General features: G+C 49.3%; 3 protein-coding genes across 5 annotated transcripts in view, besides 4 other annotated features; 2 read left to right on the forward strand and 1 right to left on the reverse strand.

The window, feature by feature from the left end:
- Positions 23 to 92: a silencer, noted in NCBI's record as "silent region_17193". NCBI's record gives its function as "represses an Ori minimal core promoter by ATAC-STARR-seq in GM12878 lymphoblastoid cells {active_cell/tissue: GM12878}" and the evidence as "EXISTENCE:reporter gene assay evidence [ECO:0000049][PMID:35858748]".
- PRICKLE4 (prickle planar cell polarity protein 4) lies at positions 309 to 6979 on the forward strand. The gene is made up of 8 exons (NM_013397.6): positions 309 to 353; positions 877 to 1047; positions 2989 to 3132; positions 3658 to 3765; positions 4462 to 4599; positions 4864 to 5067; positions 5655 to 5859; positions 6289 to 6979. Exons 3-8 carry the CDS (start codon positions 3001 to 3003, stop codon positions 6654 to 6656), a joined length of 1155 nt encoding a protein of 384 aa, NP_037529.3. The 5' UTR covers positions 309 to 353; positions 877 to 1047; positions 2989 to 3000; the 3' UTR covers positions 6657 to 6979.
- Positions 5769 to 6288: a silencer, noted in NCBI's record as "silent region_17194". NCBI's record gives its function as "represses an Ori minimal core promoter by ATAC-STARR-seq in GM12878 lymphoblastoid cells {active_cell/tissue: GM12878}" and the evidence as "EXISTENCE:reporter gene assay evidence [ECO:0000049][PMID:35858748]".
- Positions 6909 to 7908: an enhancer, noted in NCBI's record as "H3K27ac-H3K4me1 hESC enhancer chr6:41755120-41756119 (GRCh37/hg19 assembly coordinates)". NCBI's record gives its function as "activates a minimal SCP1, AML or CMV promoter by ChIP-STARR-seq in naive H9 embryonic stem cells {active_cell/tissue: H9 hESC(naive)}" and the evidence as "EXISTENCE:reporter gene assay evidence [ECO:0000049][PMID:30033119]".
- Positions 6979 to 7668: an enhancer, noted in NCBI's record as "active region_24528". NCBI's record gives its function as "activates an Ori minimal core promoter by ATAC-STARR-seq in GM12878 lymphoblastoid cells {active_cell/tissue: GM12878}" and the evidence as "EXISTENCE:reporter gene assay evidence [ECO:0000049][PMID:35858748]".
- Positions 7221 to 9422, forward strand: TOMM6 (translocase of outer mitochondrial membrane 6). 2 transcript variants are annotated; one of them, NM_001134493.2, is made up of 3 exons: positions 7221 to 7352; positions 8759 to 8863; positions 9058 to 9422. In NM_001134493.2, exons 1-2 carry the CDS (start codon positions 7225 to 7227, stop codon positions 8853 to 8855), a joined length of 225 nt encoding a protein of 74 aa, NP_001127965.1. In that variant the 5' UTR covers positions 7221 to 7224; the 3' UTR covers positions 8856 to 8863; positions 9058 to 9422. The 2 variants fall into 2 exon arrangements, with proteins under 2 accessions (NP_001127965.1, NP_001369223.1); NM_001382294.1 differs by having other exon boundaries at positions 9095 to 9422.
- The window catches only part of USP49 (ubiquitin specific peptidase 49), a 105480-nt gene continuing 98033 nt past the window's right edge, over positions 9423 to 16869 (reverse strand). For both annotated transcript variants that reach the window (NM_001286554.2, NM_001384542.1), the window contains exon 8: positions 9423 to 16250. In NM_001286554.2, coding sequence (NP_001273483.1) covers positions 16060 to 16250 — 191 coding nt within the window. In that variant the 3' untranslated portion in view covers positions 9423 to 16059. The remainder of the gene's footprint in view (positions 16251 to 16869) is intronic.

Raw genomic sequence — 16869 nt, forward strand, 5'->3', positions numbered from 1 at the left:
GCGTCTGCTGGATGCCTGCCGGGCGCAGTCCGAGCCAGAGAGCCCTTGCACCTGCATGGCAGAGGCCATGGAGCCCGCACATTTCCACCCTGAGATCCCATAAATGTGGTTTTGTTTTCCTTTTTTTTTTCCTCCCCCCAATCTGCAGCTCCAGGCCCCTCCCTGAGCCGCCCCTCTCCACCAGCCGGGGAGGGGCGGGCGGGGGCCGCTGGGGCGTGGGAGAGGAAGGGCCGCGCTATTAGGGCGGGCGGGGGCGGACGGGGGCGGGCGCTGAAGCCTTGGGGTGGGGACCGGGTGAGGGGCCTGACGGCAGAGTCGGTCCAGAACTGCCCGGACAGCGACGCACAGCGAGGGTGAGACCCCAGCGGAGTCCTGGTCCCCTCCCCTAAAATCCCAGCAGCCAGACCGGGAACCCCAGCGGACTCGGGAAACACCGCGTCCCAGCCCCGGAGGCGGGCCCGCCAAGTTCCAGAAAAACTCTGGGGATCTATCGAGAGGGCAGTTGGCGGGACTGGGCACTCCCCTTCCTTCTCCCTCCCACTGTCCCCAGAAATCTTCCCATCCCTCCACCTCCCCAAGCCCTAAGTCCTCTCGGGCTCTGCCCTTCAGGGCAGCGGGTGTTGGGGATGTCCAGCTCCTGAGCCCTCTTGCACGGAGGCTCTGCACGGAGGCAAGACAAGGGGTTCAGCTCTGTCCCTTATCTGAGGTGGGAGGGGGAAGGGAATTATGGAAGGAATCCAGCTGGCCTGTTAGTAAGGGTGTTCCAGTGCTAGGTGGAGGTGGAGTTTGGCTGCCTTTGGGGAGATTGGAAGGGTGAGGAATAGAGGCCTGATTTCTGAGTGTTGTTTCTGTGTTGGACAATTCTATGCAAACTAGAGCCAAAATGGAAGAGGGTGCAAGTCCCCTCCTGGGGCCCCAGACGCCCCCTCCTTTCTTGCTGCCTGGAGCAGGGGCAGTGCTGTTAGTGGCTACTCCTGGTGTGAACAGCCCATCCTGGCCACCTTCCACAGGAAACCTGACCTGAAGGACAGAAGAGGAAGGAAGCAGGTGGGTGTGAAGCCAGGAAGGAGGGAAGGGTGGCACAGGACATTTGAAGTGGGAGTGGAGGGGCGGTGCTGAGGAGGGTTCAGTGCTGGGAAGCAATATTAACTGTTACAGTCCAAACCCTCACCTCAACCCCAGTACGAATCCCTGGCCCAGTCTTAGAGGCCAGGGATTTGATGATGACCCTCCTGTGCCCAGCTACTTTCAGAATCTATCCCAGCTCTCAGAAGCCAGGTCCCCCTAAGGCTTCCCTTAGCCTCTGGTATGATCTTGGGCAAGTTAATTAACTTGTTTCAACTGTCAAGTGGAATGAAAGAGATTACCTCATAAGATTATTGTGAGGATGGACTATATTATGTAATATTCTAGAAGAGTCCTTGGCACAGAGTAAATATTATTAAAAAGTTTGCTCTGGTTATTTTTTTCTCCAGGGTTTTTGTATGTCTGTCCCGAGCTCTGATTGATCCCATTCTACCTGGTTTCATCTTTGTCTTACCCACTATGAGCTCCTTGAGGGCGGGGCTCATCTCTTCTCTACATTAATAGTCGCTTTTTTTTTTTTTTTTTTGAGACGGAGTCTCACTCTGTTGCCCAGGCTGGAGTGCAGTGGCATGATCTCAGCTCACTGCCACCTCTGCCTTCCAGGTAGGTTGGAGCGATTCTCCTGCCTCAGCCTCTGGAGTAGCTGGGATTACAGGCACACATTACCACGCCCAGCTTATTTTTGTATTTGTAGTAGAGATGGGGTTTCCCCATGTTGGCCAGGATGGTCTCGAACCACTGACCTCAGGTGATCTGCCTGCCTCAGCCTCCCAAAGTGCTGGGATTACAGGCATAAGCCACTGTGCCCAGCCAATGGTCACTTCTTCTTTTTTTTTTTTTTTTTTTTTGAGACGGAGTCTTGCTCTGTCGCCCAGGCTGGAGTGCAGTGGCGCGATCTTGGCTCACTGCAAGCTCCACCTCCCGGGTTCACACCATTCTCCTGCCTCAGCCTCCGGAGTAGCTGGGACTATAGGCGCCCGCCACCACGCCCGGCTAATTTTTTTAATATTTTTAGTAGAGAGGAGGTTTACACCGTGTTAGCCAGGATGGTCTCGATCTCCTGACCTCGTGATCCGCTTGTCTCGGCCTCCCGGAGTGCTGGGATTACAGGCGTGAGCCACCGTGCCCAGCCAATAGTCACTTCTTACCCCCAAGATATTATGGTCATATCAGGAGCTGCCGAGAGGAAAGCTGAAGAGATGAACTTAGATTATCCAATGCAATTGCTGCTATATATAAAAGTGCAAGGTGTTCCTCTGTCTTTGAGGAACTTATAGACTAGATTAGGAGCCGAGAGAGATGCAGGGAGCAAAGAGAAAAACATTAGGTGCTAAATCTTGGGGCACTGCTTGCTTCAGGAGCTCAGGGAAGGGAGAGCTGGTGTGGTCACAGAGGCTGAGAAGGGCTTCCTAGTAAGGGGATCCTTTAACCAGAGGCCCAAGCCTATATAGCTGGAAAACCTGGGCCCATGTAGGAAGTTGTGAACAAGGAGGCTCACTGGGGCTGTGGGTGCATGGTGAGAAACGGTGGAAGTTAAGGCTGATGAGGTAAGGAGAGAGTGTCCAAAGGCCCACCAGAAAGGCAAAGTGCCCTCTCCTTCTACCATGGGCCTCCTCTTACCTCCATCCTGATCTTGGGAGACCCCAGAATTTGAACTTCAGAAATTCTGGACCAAAAGACCTGACCTCAAGTCCTGGCTCTGCCACTTACTAGCTGTTTGACCTTGGGCATGCTACTCAAGGTCTGATCCTCAGTTGGGCCATCTGTAAGATGGGGATAATGCTACCTAAGTCGTTTGGGTGTTGGGAGGACTGAGGGAAATAATATCTATAAAGCACTTAACACTTCCTAGCACATTGTAACGGCCTAATACATGGAGGTGTTCTTATTGTTTTGGGGTAGGCTTTGCCACAAATGTCAGTGCAGAACTCTGGCTGGCCCCACCAAGAAGACAGCCCCAAGCCCCAGGATCCAGGTCCACCAGCCAACTCAGACAGTGACTCAGGCCACCTGCCGGGGGAGGACCCTGAGGATACCCATGCTCAGGTAGTAGAGTCGTGCCCTTCCTCTGAGACCAACATGTCCTCTATCCTGTGGAGTGGCCACCCTTTTCCACCAACCCGGAGGTAGTTTGACTTCGTGCCTAATCTCTTGTTGCCTTTTTCTCTTTTCAGGAATTCCTGTCTCTGCACCTGCTTAGAACATGGGGTTTTGACTTTAAACTCATTCACATGAGTATTCATTATCTCTCCTAGGGGGTCTGTATTGTCAAACCAGACTCTAGGGGCTTTGGCCCCAAGGCGTGAAGGGGGTTAAGAAGGGAAAGCATAAGAAGGGAAGCTGTTTTGGGGTGTGGGGCCTCCCCAGCCTCCCTCAAGGAAGACCACACATGCAGGCATCAGTCAGCTATCCTTGCACTCAGTGAGGATCTGCAAGGAGGACCCTCCCAAATGGAGGGCATGCTTAGAAGCTGCTCTAGATTGGAGAAGAGGTGGCAATGATGAGGGGGAAAGAAGGAGAAAGGAAAGAAAAACCTAGTTTCACTCCTCCCCTTCTTCCATGTCTCCTCAGGGTCCTGCAGTTCTGAGCTTGGGTTCCCTTTGCCTGGACACCAACCAAGCCCCCAACTGGACTGGACTTCAGACCCTCCTGCAGCAACTCCCTCCGCAGGACATTGATGTGGGTCTCCTCTCCCCATCTTCCCTCTCTTGCCTTTCCCTCCCTCATCTCTTTTCTTACTGTGGGAAGAACCTCAGTCCAGAAGTTAGGGGATGTGGATTTAATGCCCAGCTATGGCACTGGTTGGGGCGTCATTCTCCCCCTGCCTGAGTTTTCACATTGGCAATAACAATAGCAGGTGCAATAACATCTGCTCTGCCCACCACAATGCTTAGTTCAAGAGCAAATGAGAAAATGGACATGAACGACTTTTGAAACGGATAATGGAATGTACAAATGTAGAGAGTATGGTTGTTACGTATTTATTGAGGGTCTACATGTGTCCAGCCTAAAGGCTTACAATTCAATTGGGGAGGCAAGACAGGAGTATATGAAATAATTTGAGGAAATGCAAGAATGGGAAGTGATACTGAGCTCTTAGCTCATTGGGAACAAGGACCTAATGGTGACAGGGCTAAGTGCTGTGGGCCTGTCAGGACCTGATTGATGACATTCCTAGTGGGGCAGGGTGAGACTGAGGTGGCTTTCTTGAGCTCCTTTCCTTTTCCATTTCCTCTTCTATGCCATTATCTCTGGCATCTCCCTGAGGTTCTACAACCTTTCTCTGACCCAGCAGCCAAGCCCTTTTTCCTCCAACCAATGCTCAATGTTTTCTGCTGGAGCTCTCCCAGTAATTGTAGAGGACTGTTTCTGCAGGAGCGCTACTGCCTGGCCCTTGGGGAGGAGGAGCGGGCCGAGCTGCAGCTCTTCTGTGCCAGGCGGAAGCAGGAAGCCCTGGGACAGGGGGTAGCCCGCCTGGTACTTCCCAAGCTTGAAGGACACACCTGTGAGAAGGTATGTAGCACCCCTCCCCCCAAATTCCCCTTCCTCTATTCTTTGCCCTCTCATTTCTGCAGAAGGGGCTGGGCTAGCTTCTGGGATTCTGGTTGGGAAACAGGAAAAACAGAAACCAAGTTTGCAAGCTCTTGGTATAGGTTGCAGTGGATGTGGGCTTGCTAGGGTATGGCGAGAACAGGTTGGGATCGGATTGCAAGAGCAAGGAGGGAAGTTAGGATGGTAGTGCTTACTCCGACCACCTCAGCACCTCCCCTCTGACAGTGTAGGGAGCTGCTGAAGCCAGGGGAGTACGGAGTGTTTGCAGCCCGGGCAGGGGAACAGCGCTGCTGGCACCAGCCTTGCTTTGCCTGCCAGGCCTGTGGCCAGGCCCTGATAAACCTCATCTACTTCTACCATGATGGACAACTCTACTGCGGCCGTCATCATGCAGAGTTGCTGCGCCCGCGCTGCCCGGCTTGTGACCAGGTACAGCCTGGAGGGGAGGAACTGGGGGTCTGCCCAGAGTCCAGAGTGGCAGGATACAAAGGGACACTCTCCTGGGCCACAGTTTCTCCCAGTATCAGGGAGTGGGGAGAAGTAGGAACCAGCCTGGGACTACCAAGTTCCCTGTGTTCTGACTTGAGCTCTGGGCATGTAGGACCCAGTGCCCTTCTCTCTGGCCTCCCCCACTGCAGAGTCCCTCAAATGTTCCTGGACTCATCGAATTTCTCTAGAGCAGGGAGTCTTGGACACATGCTCATCTCAGTAGATGCCGAGTGCCCAGTGCTGTGCCTCATCATGCTAGAAATTCCCTTGATGTCAGCATAAAAGGAAGCCTGGAGCCCTGGGTTGGGAGTCCAGACCCCCAGGTCGCACTGGGGATTGTCCCACTTGCTAGCTGGGATCCTGGCTAAGCCAATCAGTCCTCCCTGCGTCCAAAAGTGGCTGAGTGAATTAAATGGGAATGTGTGCAGACGTGCTTTAGCGTTAACTGGGTAAAAGGCGTGGTTACTGGATGAATGAATGAGGGAATGAATGAATGAAACGTTCCCCTCTCCCTCTCCCTCTCCCAGCTGATCTTCTCCTGGCGCTGCACCGAGGCGGAGGGACAGCGCTGGCATGAGAACCACTTCTGTTGCCAGGACTGCGCCGGGCCTCTGGGCGGGGGACGTTATGCCCTGCCTGGGGGAAGCCCCTGCTGCCCCAGCTGCTTCGAGAACCGCTACTCGGATGCAGGCTCGAGCTGGGCCGGGGCACTGGAAGGGCAGGCATTCCTTGGTAAGGGAGAGGATGCAGAGCAAAGCGGGAGGGAGCTTGGGCTGGGCTGTGGGGGTTCTCCCGGGCTGGGACCCTCGCCCCGGTCCCACGCCGTCCCGTCCCTCCAGGAGCGCCCCCACCGCACCCCCCAGACCCAAGCCTCGGGGCCCGCAGCTCTCACCGCGCATCCCTGGCCGGAGCGTTCCAAGGGCCGCCCGAACCCACCCCGCGCCGCGGTCGGGGTTGCGGCGCCAGACTCCCTCCCAGGCGCGGGAGGCGGACGCCCTCTGGTGGAGGCGGGGGACCCTGGCGAGGACTCTCGGCGGCGGCGGCGGCGCGCACGGCCCAGGGGCTGGGCGGGGCGGGAGGCTGGGCCTCACCCCCACTAGCTGCGGTGTAGGTCCAGCTCCGCGGCTCTGAGACCAGCGTTTCCGACCCGGCCCGGAACAGGGGAGACTGGACTCGACCGAACTGAAGGAAGGGACCAAACCTCGGTGAACTCTGCAACCCTCTCCCGAACACTCCTCGCTGCTGCCGGCGGTTCCAGCCTGCAAACTCAGAGGGGGCTGCCTGGATCCAGTCCCCAGCAGGAGAACCGACCTGGGGACAAAGCGGAGGCACCCAAAGGGCAGGAGCAATGCCGCCTGGAGACTATTCGTGATCCCAAGGACACCCCTTTCTCCACCTGCTCCTCCTCCTCTGACTCGGAACCTGAAGGATTTTTCTTAGGCGAGCGCCTTCCCCAGTCCTGGAAGACCCCCGGAAGCCTCCAAGCAGAGGACAGCAACGCCTCTAAGACGCACTGCACCATGTGCTAGTGGCGCAGCTCAGAGAGGGGATGTGAGTGGGAGGAAAGGGGTCTGTAAAGCGGGAGAACAAGGCTAGCCTCCCCCTAACAATCCTAGACTGAGACGCAGTCAGGCGCACGCCCGCAAGAGGCGGCGAGGTGACAAGTTTGGAGTGCGCCCCCTTCAGTACTGCGCGTTCTAAGACTTTTGGCGGAGACTTTCTTGGCAAAACCCATTCCCCAAAGCTACGCTTCCCCTGCTGAGATAGCCCCTACCCCCACCTCCACAGGCTGGGACAGCCCCGTCCCCACCATCCTCCTCCCAAGCCAATTAAATGATCACAGCACGCGTGACAGTTACCGGCTGGAGAGCCGGAGGTGGGACCGGGAGCAGGGGACCGTAGAACCGGGCCGCGCTCCTCCCCTCCTAGAGTTCGTGGAGGCGCAGCAGAGGGCCGTCCCTCTTCCGGATGTCGGACTAAGCGAACAGCGCCCCCACTGCCGGCCGGTAGCAGCCGGAAGTGCCAGACCGGAGGTGCGTCATTCACCGGCGACGCCGATACGGTTCCTCCACCGAGGCCCATGCGAAGCTTTCCACTATGGCTTCCAGCACTGTCCCGGTGAGCGCTGCTGGCTCGGCTAATGAAACTCCCGAAATACCGGACAACGTGGGAGATTGGCTTCGGGGCGTCTACCGCTTTGCCACTGATAGGAATGACTTCCGGAGGTAACCGAGCCCGAGGAACTTGGTCCTTTTCTGGCCCTTAAATCCGTATTTCCCCTTTCTTGCGAGGCTGGCGCCTCAGGGTTTTTTGTTTTTGTTTTTTAACATTACCAGCATTGTGGCGTCTTCGTAGCTCTGGCTGTGCCTCACTGAGATCCCTGGCCAGGAGAGTTCCCGTGTGGCAAAAGCGATCTTTCTGTCATGTGGCTGTATCTGTAATGTCACCCTGATCAAGGGAAGAAGTGCTAGCACGTAAACAGGCTTTTTCGGCCCTGGACTAGTGCTTTAGCTGGGCTTTGCGTTTGATCTTACATTTCTTTTTTGTTTTTTTTTTTTTTTTGAGACGGAGTCTCACTCTGTTGCCCAGGCTGGAGTGCAGTGGCGCGATCTCGGCTCACTGCAAGCTCCGCCTCCCGGGTTCACGCCATTCTCCTGCCTCAGCCTCCCGAGTAGCTGGGACTACGGCCGCCCGCCACCACGCCCTGCTAATTTTTTGTATTTTTAGTAGAGACGGGGTTTCACCGTGTTATCCAGGATGGTCTCGATCTCCTGACCTCGTGATCCGCCCGCCTCGGCCTCCCAAAGTGCTGGGATTACAGGCGTGAGCCACCACGCCCGGCCTTTTTTTTTTTTTTTTTTTTTTTTTTTGAGACGGAGTCTCACTCTGTCGCCCAGGCTGGAGTGCAGAGGCGCAATCTCGGCTCACTGCCCCTTCTGCCTCCCGGGTTCAAGCGATTCTCCTGCCTCAGCCTCCCCAGTAGCTGGGATTACAAGCGCGCGCCACCACGCCCAGCTAATTTTTGTATTTTTAGTAGAGACGGGGTTTCACCATCTTGGGCAGGCTGGTCTCAAACTCCTGACTTCTCGATCCACCCGACTCTGCCTCCCAAAGTGCTGGGATTACAGGCGTGAGCCACCGCGCCCGGCCACATTTATTTCTTTTTGAGACAGCCTCGCTCTGTCGCCCAGGCTGGAGTGTAGTGGCGGACCTCAGCTCACTGCAGCCTCCGCCTCCCGGGTTCAAGCGATTTTCCTGCCTCAGCCTCCCCAGTAGCTGGGATTACAGGCGCGCACCACCACGCCCAGCTAATTTTTGTATTTTTAGTAGAGACGGGGTTTCACCATGTTGGCCAGGCTGGTCTCGAGCTCCTGACTTCGTGATCCGCCTGCCTTGGCCTTCCAAAGTGCTGGGATTACAGGCGTGAACCACCGCGCCCAGCCTGACCTTACACTTACTAGGCACAAAAATGAACTCCAAATTCCCACGTGGGTCTTGAGCAACCTGCCGTCACAACCACGTATCAACGCCTCGGGAAGGTGGTGATGGAAGCCTTTCCCCCCAGTACATTTCGTTAACTGTACAACTGACTCAGTGACCACAGGGTTAATAAAACACATTGTTTTTCCAGGAACTTGATACTAAATTTGGGACTCTTTGCTGCGGGAGTTTGGCTGGCCAGGAACTTGAGTGACATTGACCTCATGGCACCTCAGCCAGGGGTGTAGCCAAGTAGGTAAGCACTGAACTACACCCATGCGTGTCTTAGGAGACCTAGAGACTGGGTGAAGCAATGTTTTCTGTCAAGTATTCATGAAATGTACAAAAGAATGTGATGTAAAACCCTTAACTATTCCTAGTTAAATGTGTTTTCAGATGTTGAAAGGGATTTAAGTATCTCTTACCAGTTTCCCTCCCATACTTTTACAGTTCTAATGCCACCTGTCGTCTTATCATCTGATTGCAGACAAATGGAATCCTGTGCTGAACCCGAATCTTCCAAAAAACAGCCTACAATCTGTGACCACCACAAGATGTGCCCTGATGGCAGCTGAAGTTTGATTCAGATGGGCACTTTTCTTCCCCTTCCCTGCCTAGTTTCCTTTTGTTCCTTGAGTCCACGCAGAATTCCATTCTCTGGTCAGCAGACAGGCTTAAGCTAAAGTATTGCCTCTATTCTGTAAAGTTCTGTACATAGTTCCCAAGCTTCTGCAGGGGGTGATTTTTGCTCTTGTCCTGAGAAATAACAGTGCTGTTTTAAAAAACATTTGAAATAAATACCGCACACAAAGGCAGTCATTTTATTCTTTTAATAAGAAACTTTTGCTTACAAAAACAAGGTGTAAAAAGATTTACAAAAATCATAAAAACATGATTTATATTTCACACTTGAGAGACAAAAACAAGCCCCAAAACATGGATTTTAATGGAGGTGGTTTGCTTCATTTTAAAAGGGAAAAAAAAAAAAGGAAGCTGTAACCATACATTGATGTTAACCTAGCATGAAGTTTATTCTTGAAGAATTTACATTGTTGAGCAATATTAGGGGAAGAAGCCATTTGGTGTTGCATAGCATTTTAGTGCACCAGATGGGTTTTCCAGACACCAGGGAGGCATCATTGCTGGAATAGTGAGGTTTGGTGGCAGAAAGAGGGCAGTGATGTGTAGGGGGAGGCAAAGTGAAGTAAGCCTGGGCAGTGGTCACTAAAGTGACACTGCTGAGGCAGCTGCTTCCTTCAGAAGGAAATGTTTTGTGACCCTAAAATTCATGGTAGTGCTACTGTCCAGGGTTTGGGGGCTCTTTGGAAATGGAGTATGTACGGAACTGGCATGTATAGACTTATATAGCCATAGAAAGAGGTGGATAGAAACAGGTCCACCATGGCAATATTTTTTTCTGGCCAGTTTACTAGGCATTAAAAAAAATACTGCTTTTATGTGCCAAGTCTCTTATGGAACTAGTATGGGATTAAAGGACGTTAATTGGAAAGGAGGGTCAGTATATAAGGACCACAGTGGCCTGTTAAGGATGACAGATGTCTCTAGCAGTTTGTTCACTACTAAAGTTAAACAGGACAAAATAGTCTTTCCTGACCTTGCTGGCATAAATATTAAGAAAATTGTTTGAGAATTAGATTTTTTTAGTATGTATATAAAAACAGCACCATTCTTTGTATAAATCAGATAGATCTTATCTGATAGATGAAGCTAAGACCCTTTGAGTCTACACTGGGTTGACTCTGAGAGGTTTATATCTTATTGGGTATTAAGATAAAGAAGGGTCACATGAGAGCAAAGCTTAGCTTTGAAGCCATCACCTCCCAAATGGTGACCAAGGAGGAAACTTTTAAGCCATAGTATAGATGCTAACCCCCATTTAGACCTGCATCAGATCACTTGCTAAGACAAGAAATACCAGCACCTCCTGTTCTTTATAGGAATGAAACTTAGATCCTTAAAGGCTGCTACCTGATATACTCATGACTGGACAGTTTTGATAAAAACTTCCAAAATTGAAAATCAAAATCCAGCAAGAATTAAGACATGGCAGCTTCCAAAAGCATAATTCAAATTTCATTCAAAATTTACTGTTTTGGCTTCAAGTAAGTGTTTACTGTTGGTTGGGTTTTAAAGCCATAATTATGGTTGAGTAAGGATTCATTTATTTATTTATTAAATTTTTATACATTTTTGAAAAGATTTCAAATCTATGTTTCCCAGGCTGGTCTTGAGCTCCTGGCCTCAAGCAATCCTCCCACCTTGGCCTCCCAAAGTGTTGGGATTACAGGTGCTAGCCAACTGCATCCAGCCAATGTTTCATTTCAACTGGCTTAAATCTTCAAAGTGGTTAAGAATTTAGTAAATAAAACTACTTAATCTACAACTTTCAAAAATTGATGAGTAATCACTAATTCTGTAAATGAAGGAGTTGGACTTCACTATTGCCAAAGCAACATTTTCCCCAAGGAAAGTCAATTTGATATCCTGTCACACTTTTCAGCCCTGGCTAGTTAACACAGTACTATGAAAATCTTTAGCTAGATTTTAAACGAAATATGCCAGCAGAAGTATGGAATGAGTCCACAAAAATGAGTGCCTGCCACAATGCTATAGTAGCTATGGTGTATTTAGTGCAGAGTGTGGGATGAATAAGTACATAGTAATTAAAGTCATAGTCCTGGCCCAACAGAACAGTTACTAAATGTAAGATACAAACTAAACTCACAGTCATATTTAGAAGGCGCTTTTCAGCTTTAGCACTGACTTAAAAAGTCTGAACCACCAGGAAGATGCGTACTTAACTGGTTAAAAAATTAAGTGGCCCTGGAAAGTTTTACCCCAAAGATACAACTTCTTCACTTATTTAGTTCAGTAATGAGGCTGAGGGACCCAATTTTCAAGTGTGCATTTGAGTGGGAAACTTTTAAACACCATATGTTGAAGTTTCATGAGCTCAGTGGAAACCTTAAGGTCAGAGTAAAAGAAACTGGCTGTAAACAGCCCTGCAGTGAAGAGACTGGGTCTTAGCACCTTCCACATTCACTCAGCGCCATCTCAGTCAGCGCCTGCCAGGGAAAGGGCATGGAGAGCTGGGACGGGTGCCTTCTCTTTTGCACCACTCCCTTTGCATATTACACAGTGCACTGGCTTGCCTTACAATCTAAGGTTCACATACAGGGGGTTTTCTATACTGCTTCCGGACATTTTTTGCAAAAGAACATCAGAACCAATGAAGGTACCATTTCAGGAGGAATCATTTTTGTTTGACTTCTGCTATATGTTGCCCAGCATTAGTCATTGTTTTGATAAAGACTAAAAGGCCTTTTCTCAACATTTGTGCTCTCCCAACCACCTGGGAAAGCAACCCTTCCACTCACAAGAGGTAACCTCAGATAGGGATATAGTATTCATTTAAGAAGGGGTAGCCCCCCAGCCTGATTTAAAAAGGCCCAAGTCAATGTATGGAACATGACAAGGGAAGTGAAAAACAATGGAGTACACAGTCTGCCTTGAAAAGCAGCCATTTGATGAACAGTCACAAATACAAAGAATTTGGACATTGTAACATAATTTCAGAACTTGCTGGTAAGAATAATTTGCATTCACACACAAGAGACATGAAATGCTTTTTAAAAGTCTGTGATACCAGATGTCCTTTAAACACTACACAGACCCATTTGCCACTTGAAATGACAAGAAGAAATCCTTTCCCTTAATCTTTTCAATTCCATGCAAACCGTAATTGAGTACAAGGCACCAAATTTTATGAATTGTATAAAATTAGTTCACAAAGCTTTATCAGTAAGTAGAACAAACTCCATTTCTCCCTCCCGGCCAGCCCACCCTCCTCCCACCCACCACCCGCCATCCCCGACCAAGTTTTCATTCTGCACTACTGTCGACCTCTCTAGGGCTTATGCTGGGGCATGCCCCACTGTCAGCCAATCCACCTCATTGGTTCTTCCCTTGTACTTGGATGAAGCTGTAAGCACAGCCAGAGTAGCAAACTCATACAATCATTGACTCTAGAAGCCTTGCCATTAAAAACAAAAATAAACTCTGCTATTGAGTCCATAGGACACATTAACACTTCTACAGTTTCCAATTTTATTCATGACATTTTAAGAGACATCTGGAAATTCTTTTTTTTTTTTTGTTTTTGTTTTTGTTTTTTTTTTAAGACAGAGTCTCGCTCTGTCGCCAGGCTGGAGTGCAGTGGCACGATCTCGGCTCACTGCCCCTTCTGCCTCCTGGGTTCCAGCGATTCTCCTGCCTCAGCCTCCCAAGTAGCTGGGACTACAGGCACGTGCCACCATGCCCAGCTAATTTTTGTATTTTTAGTAGAGACGGAGTTTCACCATGTTGGCCAGGATGATCTCAATCTCTTGACCTTGTGATCCGCCCTCCTCGGCCTCCCAAAGTGCTGGGATTACAGGCATGAGCCACCGCGCCCAGCCTGGAAATTCTTTACAGTGTAGCACTGCCCCCCAACCCTGCCCCATAACTCCGAGACTGAGGGGCTGGATCAAAGCTGGCAAGAGCTCTGTCCACCATTTAATAAGAGCTTCAGTTCTGCCAAGGGCATTCCTAACTATTTTTATACTAGCATGGATGTTCGTCTCAGAGGCAACCACAGATATGAGGGTCAGGCTAGATTGAGGTAAAAAAAAATCCTTTTTGAGGGCCTAGGTGCACTCATCTTGGCTGGCTACAGCAGCAAGTAAACATGCCAGCCAACTAACTACAAAGGGTTCCTGGAATGAGACTCTTAACTACTTGCCCTGGGAGAGAAGCAGGCCCATTAAGGTTCGGTTAGGAGACCTTGGGTTTGATTTGGCAGCATCTAGTCAGTTTTTACCTGGTTCTTATTTTCTTCTCTTTAGAATGATTCAATTTCAGATGCAACTGAGACATTCATCTATACCCAGTACGTAAATAAATTAAAGGCAAAGGGACATTTCCCTCACAATAGCCATTGGCTTATGCAGCAGGGAACTCTTCTTTAATAAAAATCTCCTTAAATACTAACGTCCTAAGTGTCCAGTGCTGCCGCCTCTGGGTACCTGAGGTGTCTGTAACTGCAGTGGGCACCTTTCACAAATGTGTAGCTCAGTGGAGACTCTGATGTTAGTTTCTTTTATTACTTTGATATATGCGTGCTCAGCTAAGTTAAGCACTTATTTCACAAAGTCCTTAATCTGCTTAATAAATCCTTATAATATTTGGTATAAAACTATTTTTAAAAATTAAATTGGAAGATCTTTGAATTTTCCATTAAATGTTTATTAATAATTATCCCCACTGGACAGCCTGAGGGGTAAAGTAGATGCTCTATTAGTTCTTCTCTATCTTGTAAGTTCTTTTTTTCTAGAATAATAAATATAGGATTCAATGAAAGATGAGGCACGATTCATAGTTTCCTTTCCTTTTTACTCTCCTTGGTTTTTTTGAGTTAATGGGCTTTTCTATTGCCACAAAAAGTCATTACTAATCATGCCGACTTAAAAACGTGGATCTTGAGAGTACAGCTTCACATCAGAGCCTCTGGCAGCATGGACAGCGGTGACACTTTAAAACAGTGTCCAGGAGAGGGTGAGCCCAGGCAAAGCTTATACAAAGAAGCCTGCAGTAGACAATATAAACCAAACAGCATAAAAAATGCCATACGCTATCGCTTCCAAATAAAAGCTAAATATTACAGAAACCTCACAGTGTTGGAAAAAGCAAGTTTAATTTAAAATATAGTCACTCCTTCCCTATCAGGGTGAGCCATTTTTTGTCTGAATTTCCTCCATGTCTCAGTGCTGCCTGGCAGGGCCTATGGGAGAGTTCATCTCAAAAGAGGTCAACAGCAAATGCTACAGATCTGTGTGGGAAATGTGGCTCATCAACATTGCTAAAGCTATAACCCTCATTCTTTAGCCTGGCTTTCCCCACTTCCCACTCCTCCCCGAACGCCCTTCCACATCTACTCCCTTCAAGTGACAACTGTACTTCTACCTGAATTCAAACATTAATATGATATACTCAGTCAAAAGATGAGCATTCATAGTGACAGGTTGAGTGAGGCTCACTGCAGTGACCACAGCAACAAAAGTTAGGGTTTGCATTCACTTTCACCAGCAAATCTAAGTGAAGAACTAAGAATGAAGTGGTGCCTGATGGGGACAAGGGTTTTTATCTGGGCAATTTCATTCTGTTTAGAAACTGACCCAATTTAAAAAGGAAGATGTATTTTACTAGCACTGGGGGAAAGGACGGGGCACTCTTGTTTTTTTCTCTGATGGACTGAGTATGGGGGGTAAAGCAACAGTAGGGATTATCAGATTTGGGAGGAAACAGGTCAAGGCCATTGGTAATCAACTCTTCAGATATGTACGAGGTGGACTCCTAAGCAGTTAACATACCCTAGAGAACCAAAAGCTCCCAAACCCTGTGAACATGAATGTTCTAGCTCTCCAGGAGCAAGAAAGAAGCTGCAGGCTAAGAAGCTGCATGCCGCACTGAAGTGAGAACGGGTGACAGGCCTTCAATAAGCCCTGGAGCATCAGCTATCTCTGCCCACCCTCAATTGAGTTCTGAGAAAACCTAAGAATCAATTTAAACCAAACCATGTGCTTGCCCTAGACCTGAACCAGGGATCTGCTACAGAACTGAGATAGCCAGGAGTGTCCTTTGGCTCAGCATGGAACATGTGCTAGTCTATTGCTTCTTTATATGACCTGCCCCTTCTTTAGAATGAAGGGGTATTCATGCCAGTCTCAGAAGTATGGAATGATTATATGACAGCAGCAAGTAGGGAGGGTATGACATATGAAAACCATCCCACTTTGCATGGGGAAATTTGTTCCATGCATCTCACTCCACTCTTCAGCTGCTATCCCCAAAAAAGGAAGTTTGTTTTAAACCCTTGAAGGTTACTTCCTTTGTGGGAATAAACCCTTTAGACTTCATCTCCCATCTTGGAGCCAATCCCATCCAGCAAACTGCTAGCCCAGGGCCCCTCCTCACGTGCTCTGTCCAGGACTGCTCACATCCGGAGGGTTCTTCTGGTGCTGCAAGGAGGTCCTGATTAGCAGGGGAATCACATCATGGAGAGAAAACATGGCTGCTCTCCTGTGTGGATATGATTGATTTACCCCCCCGCCCCGCTTTCCTCCACCCAGATCCCTCTATATTCAGAAGCAACTGATGAAAGGATCTTCATAGAAGTTACTTCTTTTGTTTTTAGGAAAGGAGGGAACTCCCAAACTCATTCAAAAGAAAGAGACTATAAAATTTACGACAGGACACGAATCACCTGGCACCTTCTACTCTAGACCCAGCAAGGCAAACCTAGTAATCTGTTCCTGCAGTAGCCTTATTTCCTATAAGAGGAAAGATGTATGGACACCAATACACAAAAGCCAGTCTTTGATACATGCCTCCCATTCAGGAAAATGTCTGTGGTCTGCCTTCATCATTGTTGCTGGACTGCACCTGAGCTTGGAGATGGGTTTCTGAGATTCTTGCATTGCCCTGCACTGTTCTTTGAGTGTAAAAAAGGATGTAGGCCTGGGTTTTGCACACTTCCTCGACACTGCATACATTCAGCTTTGAGTCATTGCAGTGGACCCAAAAACCTAGGAAACCAAAGGAGAAAAAGAGAGAAAATGACTACCCAATTCATATTTTAGTCAGCAGGCAAAATCAGGAGATGAAGAAAGGGACAGAGAAGTTCTGAATAGAGCCAACCCTCGATTATTGGTGGGGAAGGGACAGGTAAATGAAACTGACAGACTTTTGTGTATCCACTGGCTTTAACCCCACCAAGCCCCACGGTACTGCTTATCGACTGACTGCAATTTTTTTTTTTTTTTTTTTTTTGAGACAGAGTCTCGCTCTGTCACCCAGGCTGGAGTGCAGTGGTGGGTTCTCGGCTCACTGCAAGCTCCACCTCCCAGGTTCACGCCATTCTCCTGCCATTCTCCTGCCTCAGCCTCTCGAGTAGCTGGGACTACAGGTGCCCACCACCACGCCCGGCTAATTCTTTGTATTTTTAGTAGAGACGGGGCTTCACCATGTTAGCCAGGATGGTCTCGACCTCCTGACCTCGTGATCCGCCCGCCTCGGCCTCCCAGAGTGCTGGGATTACAGGCGTGAGCCACCGCACCCAGCCGACTGACTGCAATTTTTATCTTTGTTTTCTTCAGGCTTTTTCATTGTCCACTAGGGCCTTCTAGAAAGAGCTGCGATACTGCA

The sequence above is a fragment of the Homo sapiens genome, chromosome 6, assembly GCF_000001405.40.
Source record: "Homo sapiens chromosome 6, GRCh38.p14 Primary Assembly".
Taxonomy (NCBI): Eukaryota; Metazoa; Chordata; class Mammalia; order Primates; family Hominidae; genus Homo; species Homo sapiens.

What these genes read in the sequence shown, in the direction of transcription:
- PRICKLE4 (NM_013397.6), top strand. Translation starts at nt 3,001, where the DNA reads ATGTCAGTGCAGAACTCTGGCTGGCCCCACCAAGAAGACAGCCCCAAG. An exon ending in AAGGACACACCTGTGAGAAG is followed by an intron (nt 4,600 to 4,863) that starts GTATGTAGCACC and finishes CCCCTCTGACAG; the next exon opens with TGTAGGGAGCTGCTGAAGCC. An exon ending in GCTGCCCGGCTTGTGACCAG is followed by an intron (nt 5,068 to 5,654) that starts GTACAGCCTGGA and finishes TCCCTCTCCCAG; the next exon opens with CTGATCTTCTCCTGGCGCTG.
- TOMM6 (NM_001134493.2), top strand. Translation starts at nt 7,225, where the DNA reads ATGGCTTCCAGCACTGTCCCGGTGAGCGCTGCTGGCTCGGCTAATGAA. An exon ending in GATAGGAATGACTTCCGGAG is followed by an intron (nt 7,353 to 8,758) that starts GTAACCGAGCCC and finishes TTGTTTTTCCAG; the next exon opens with GAACTTGATACTAAATTTGG.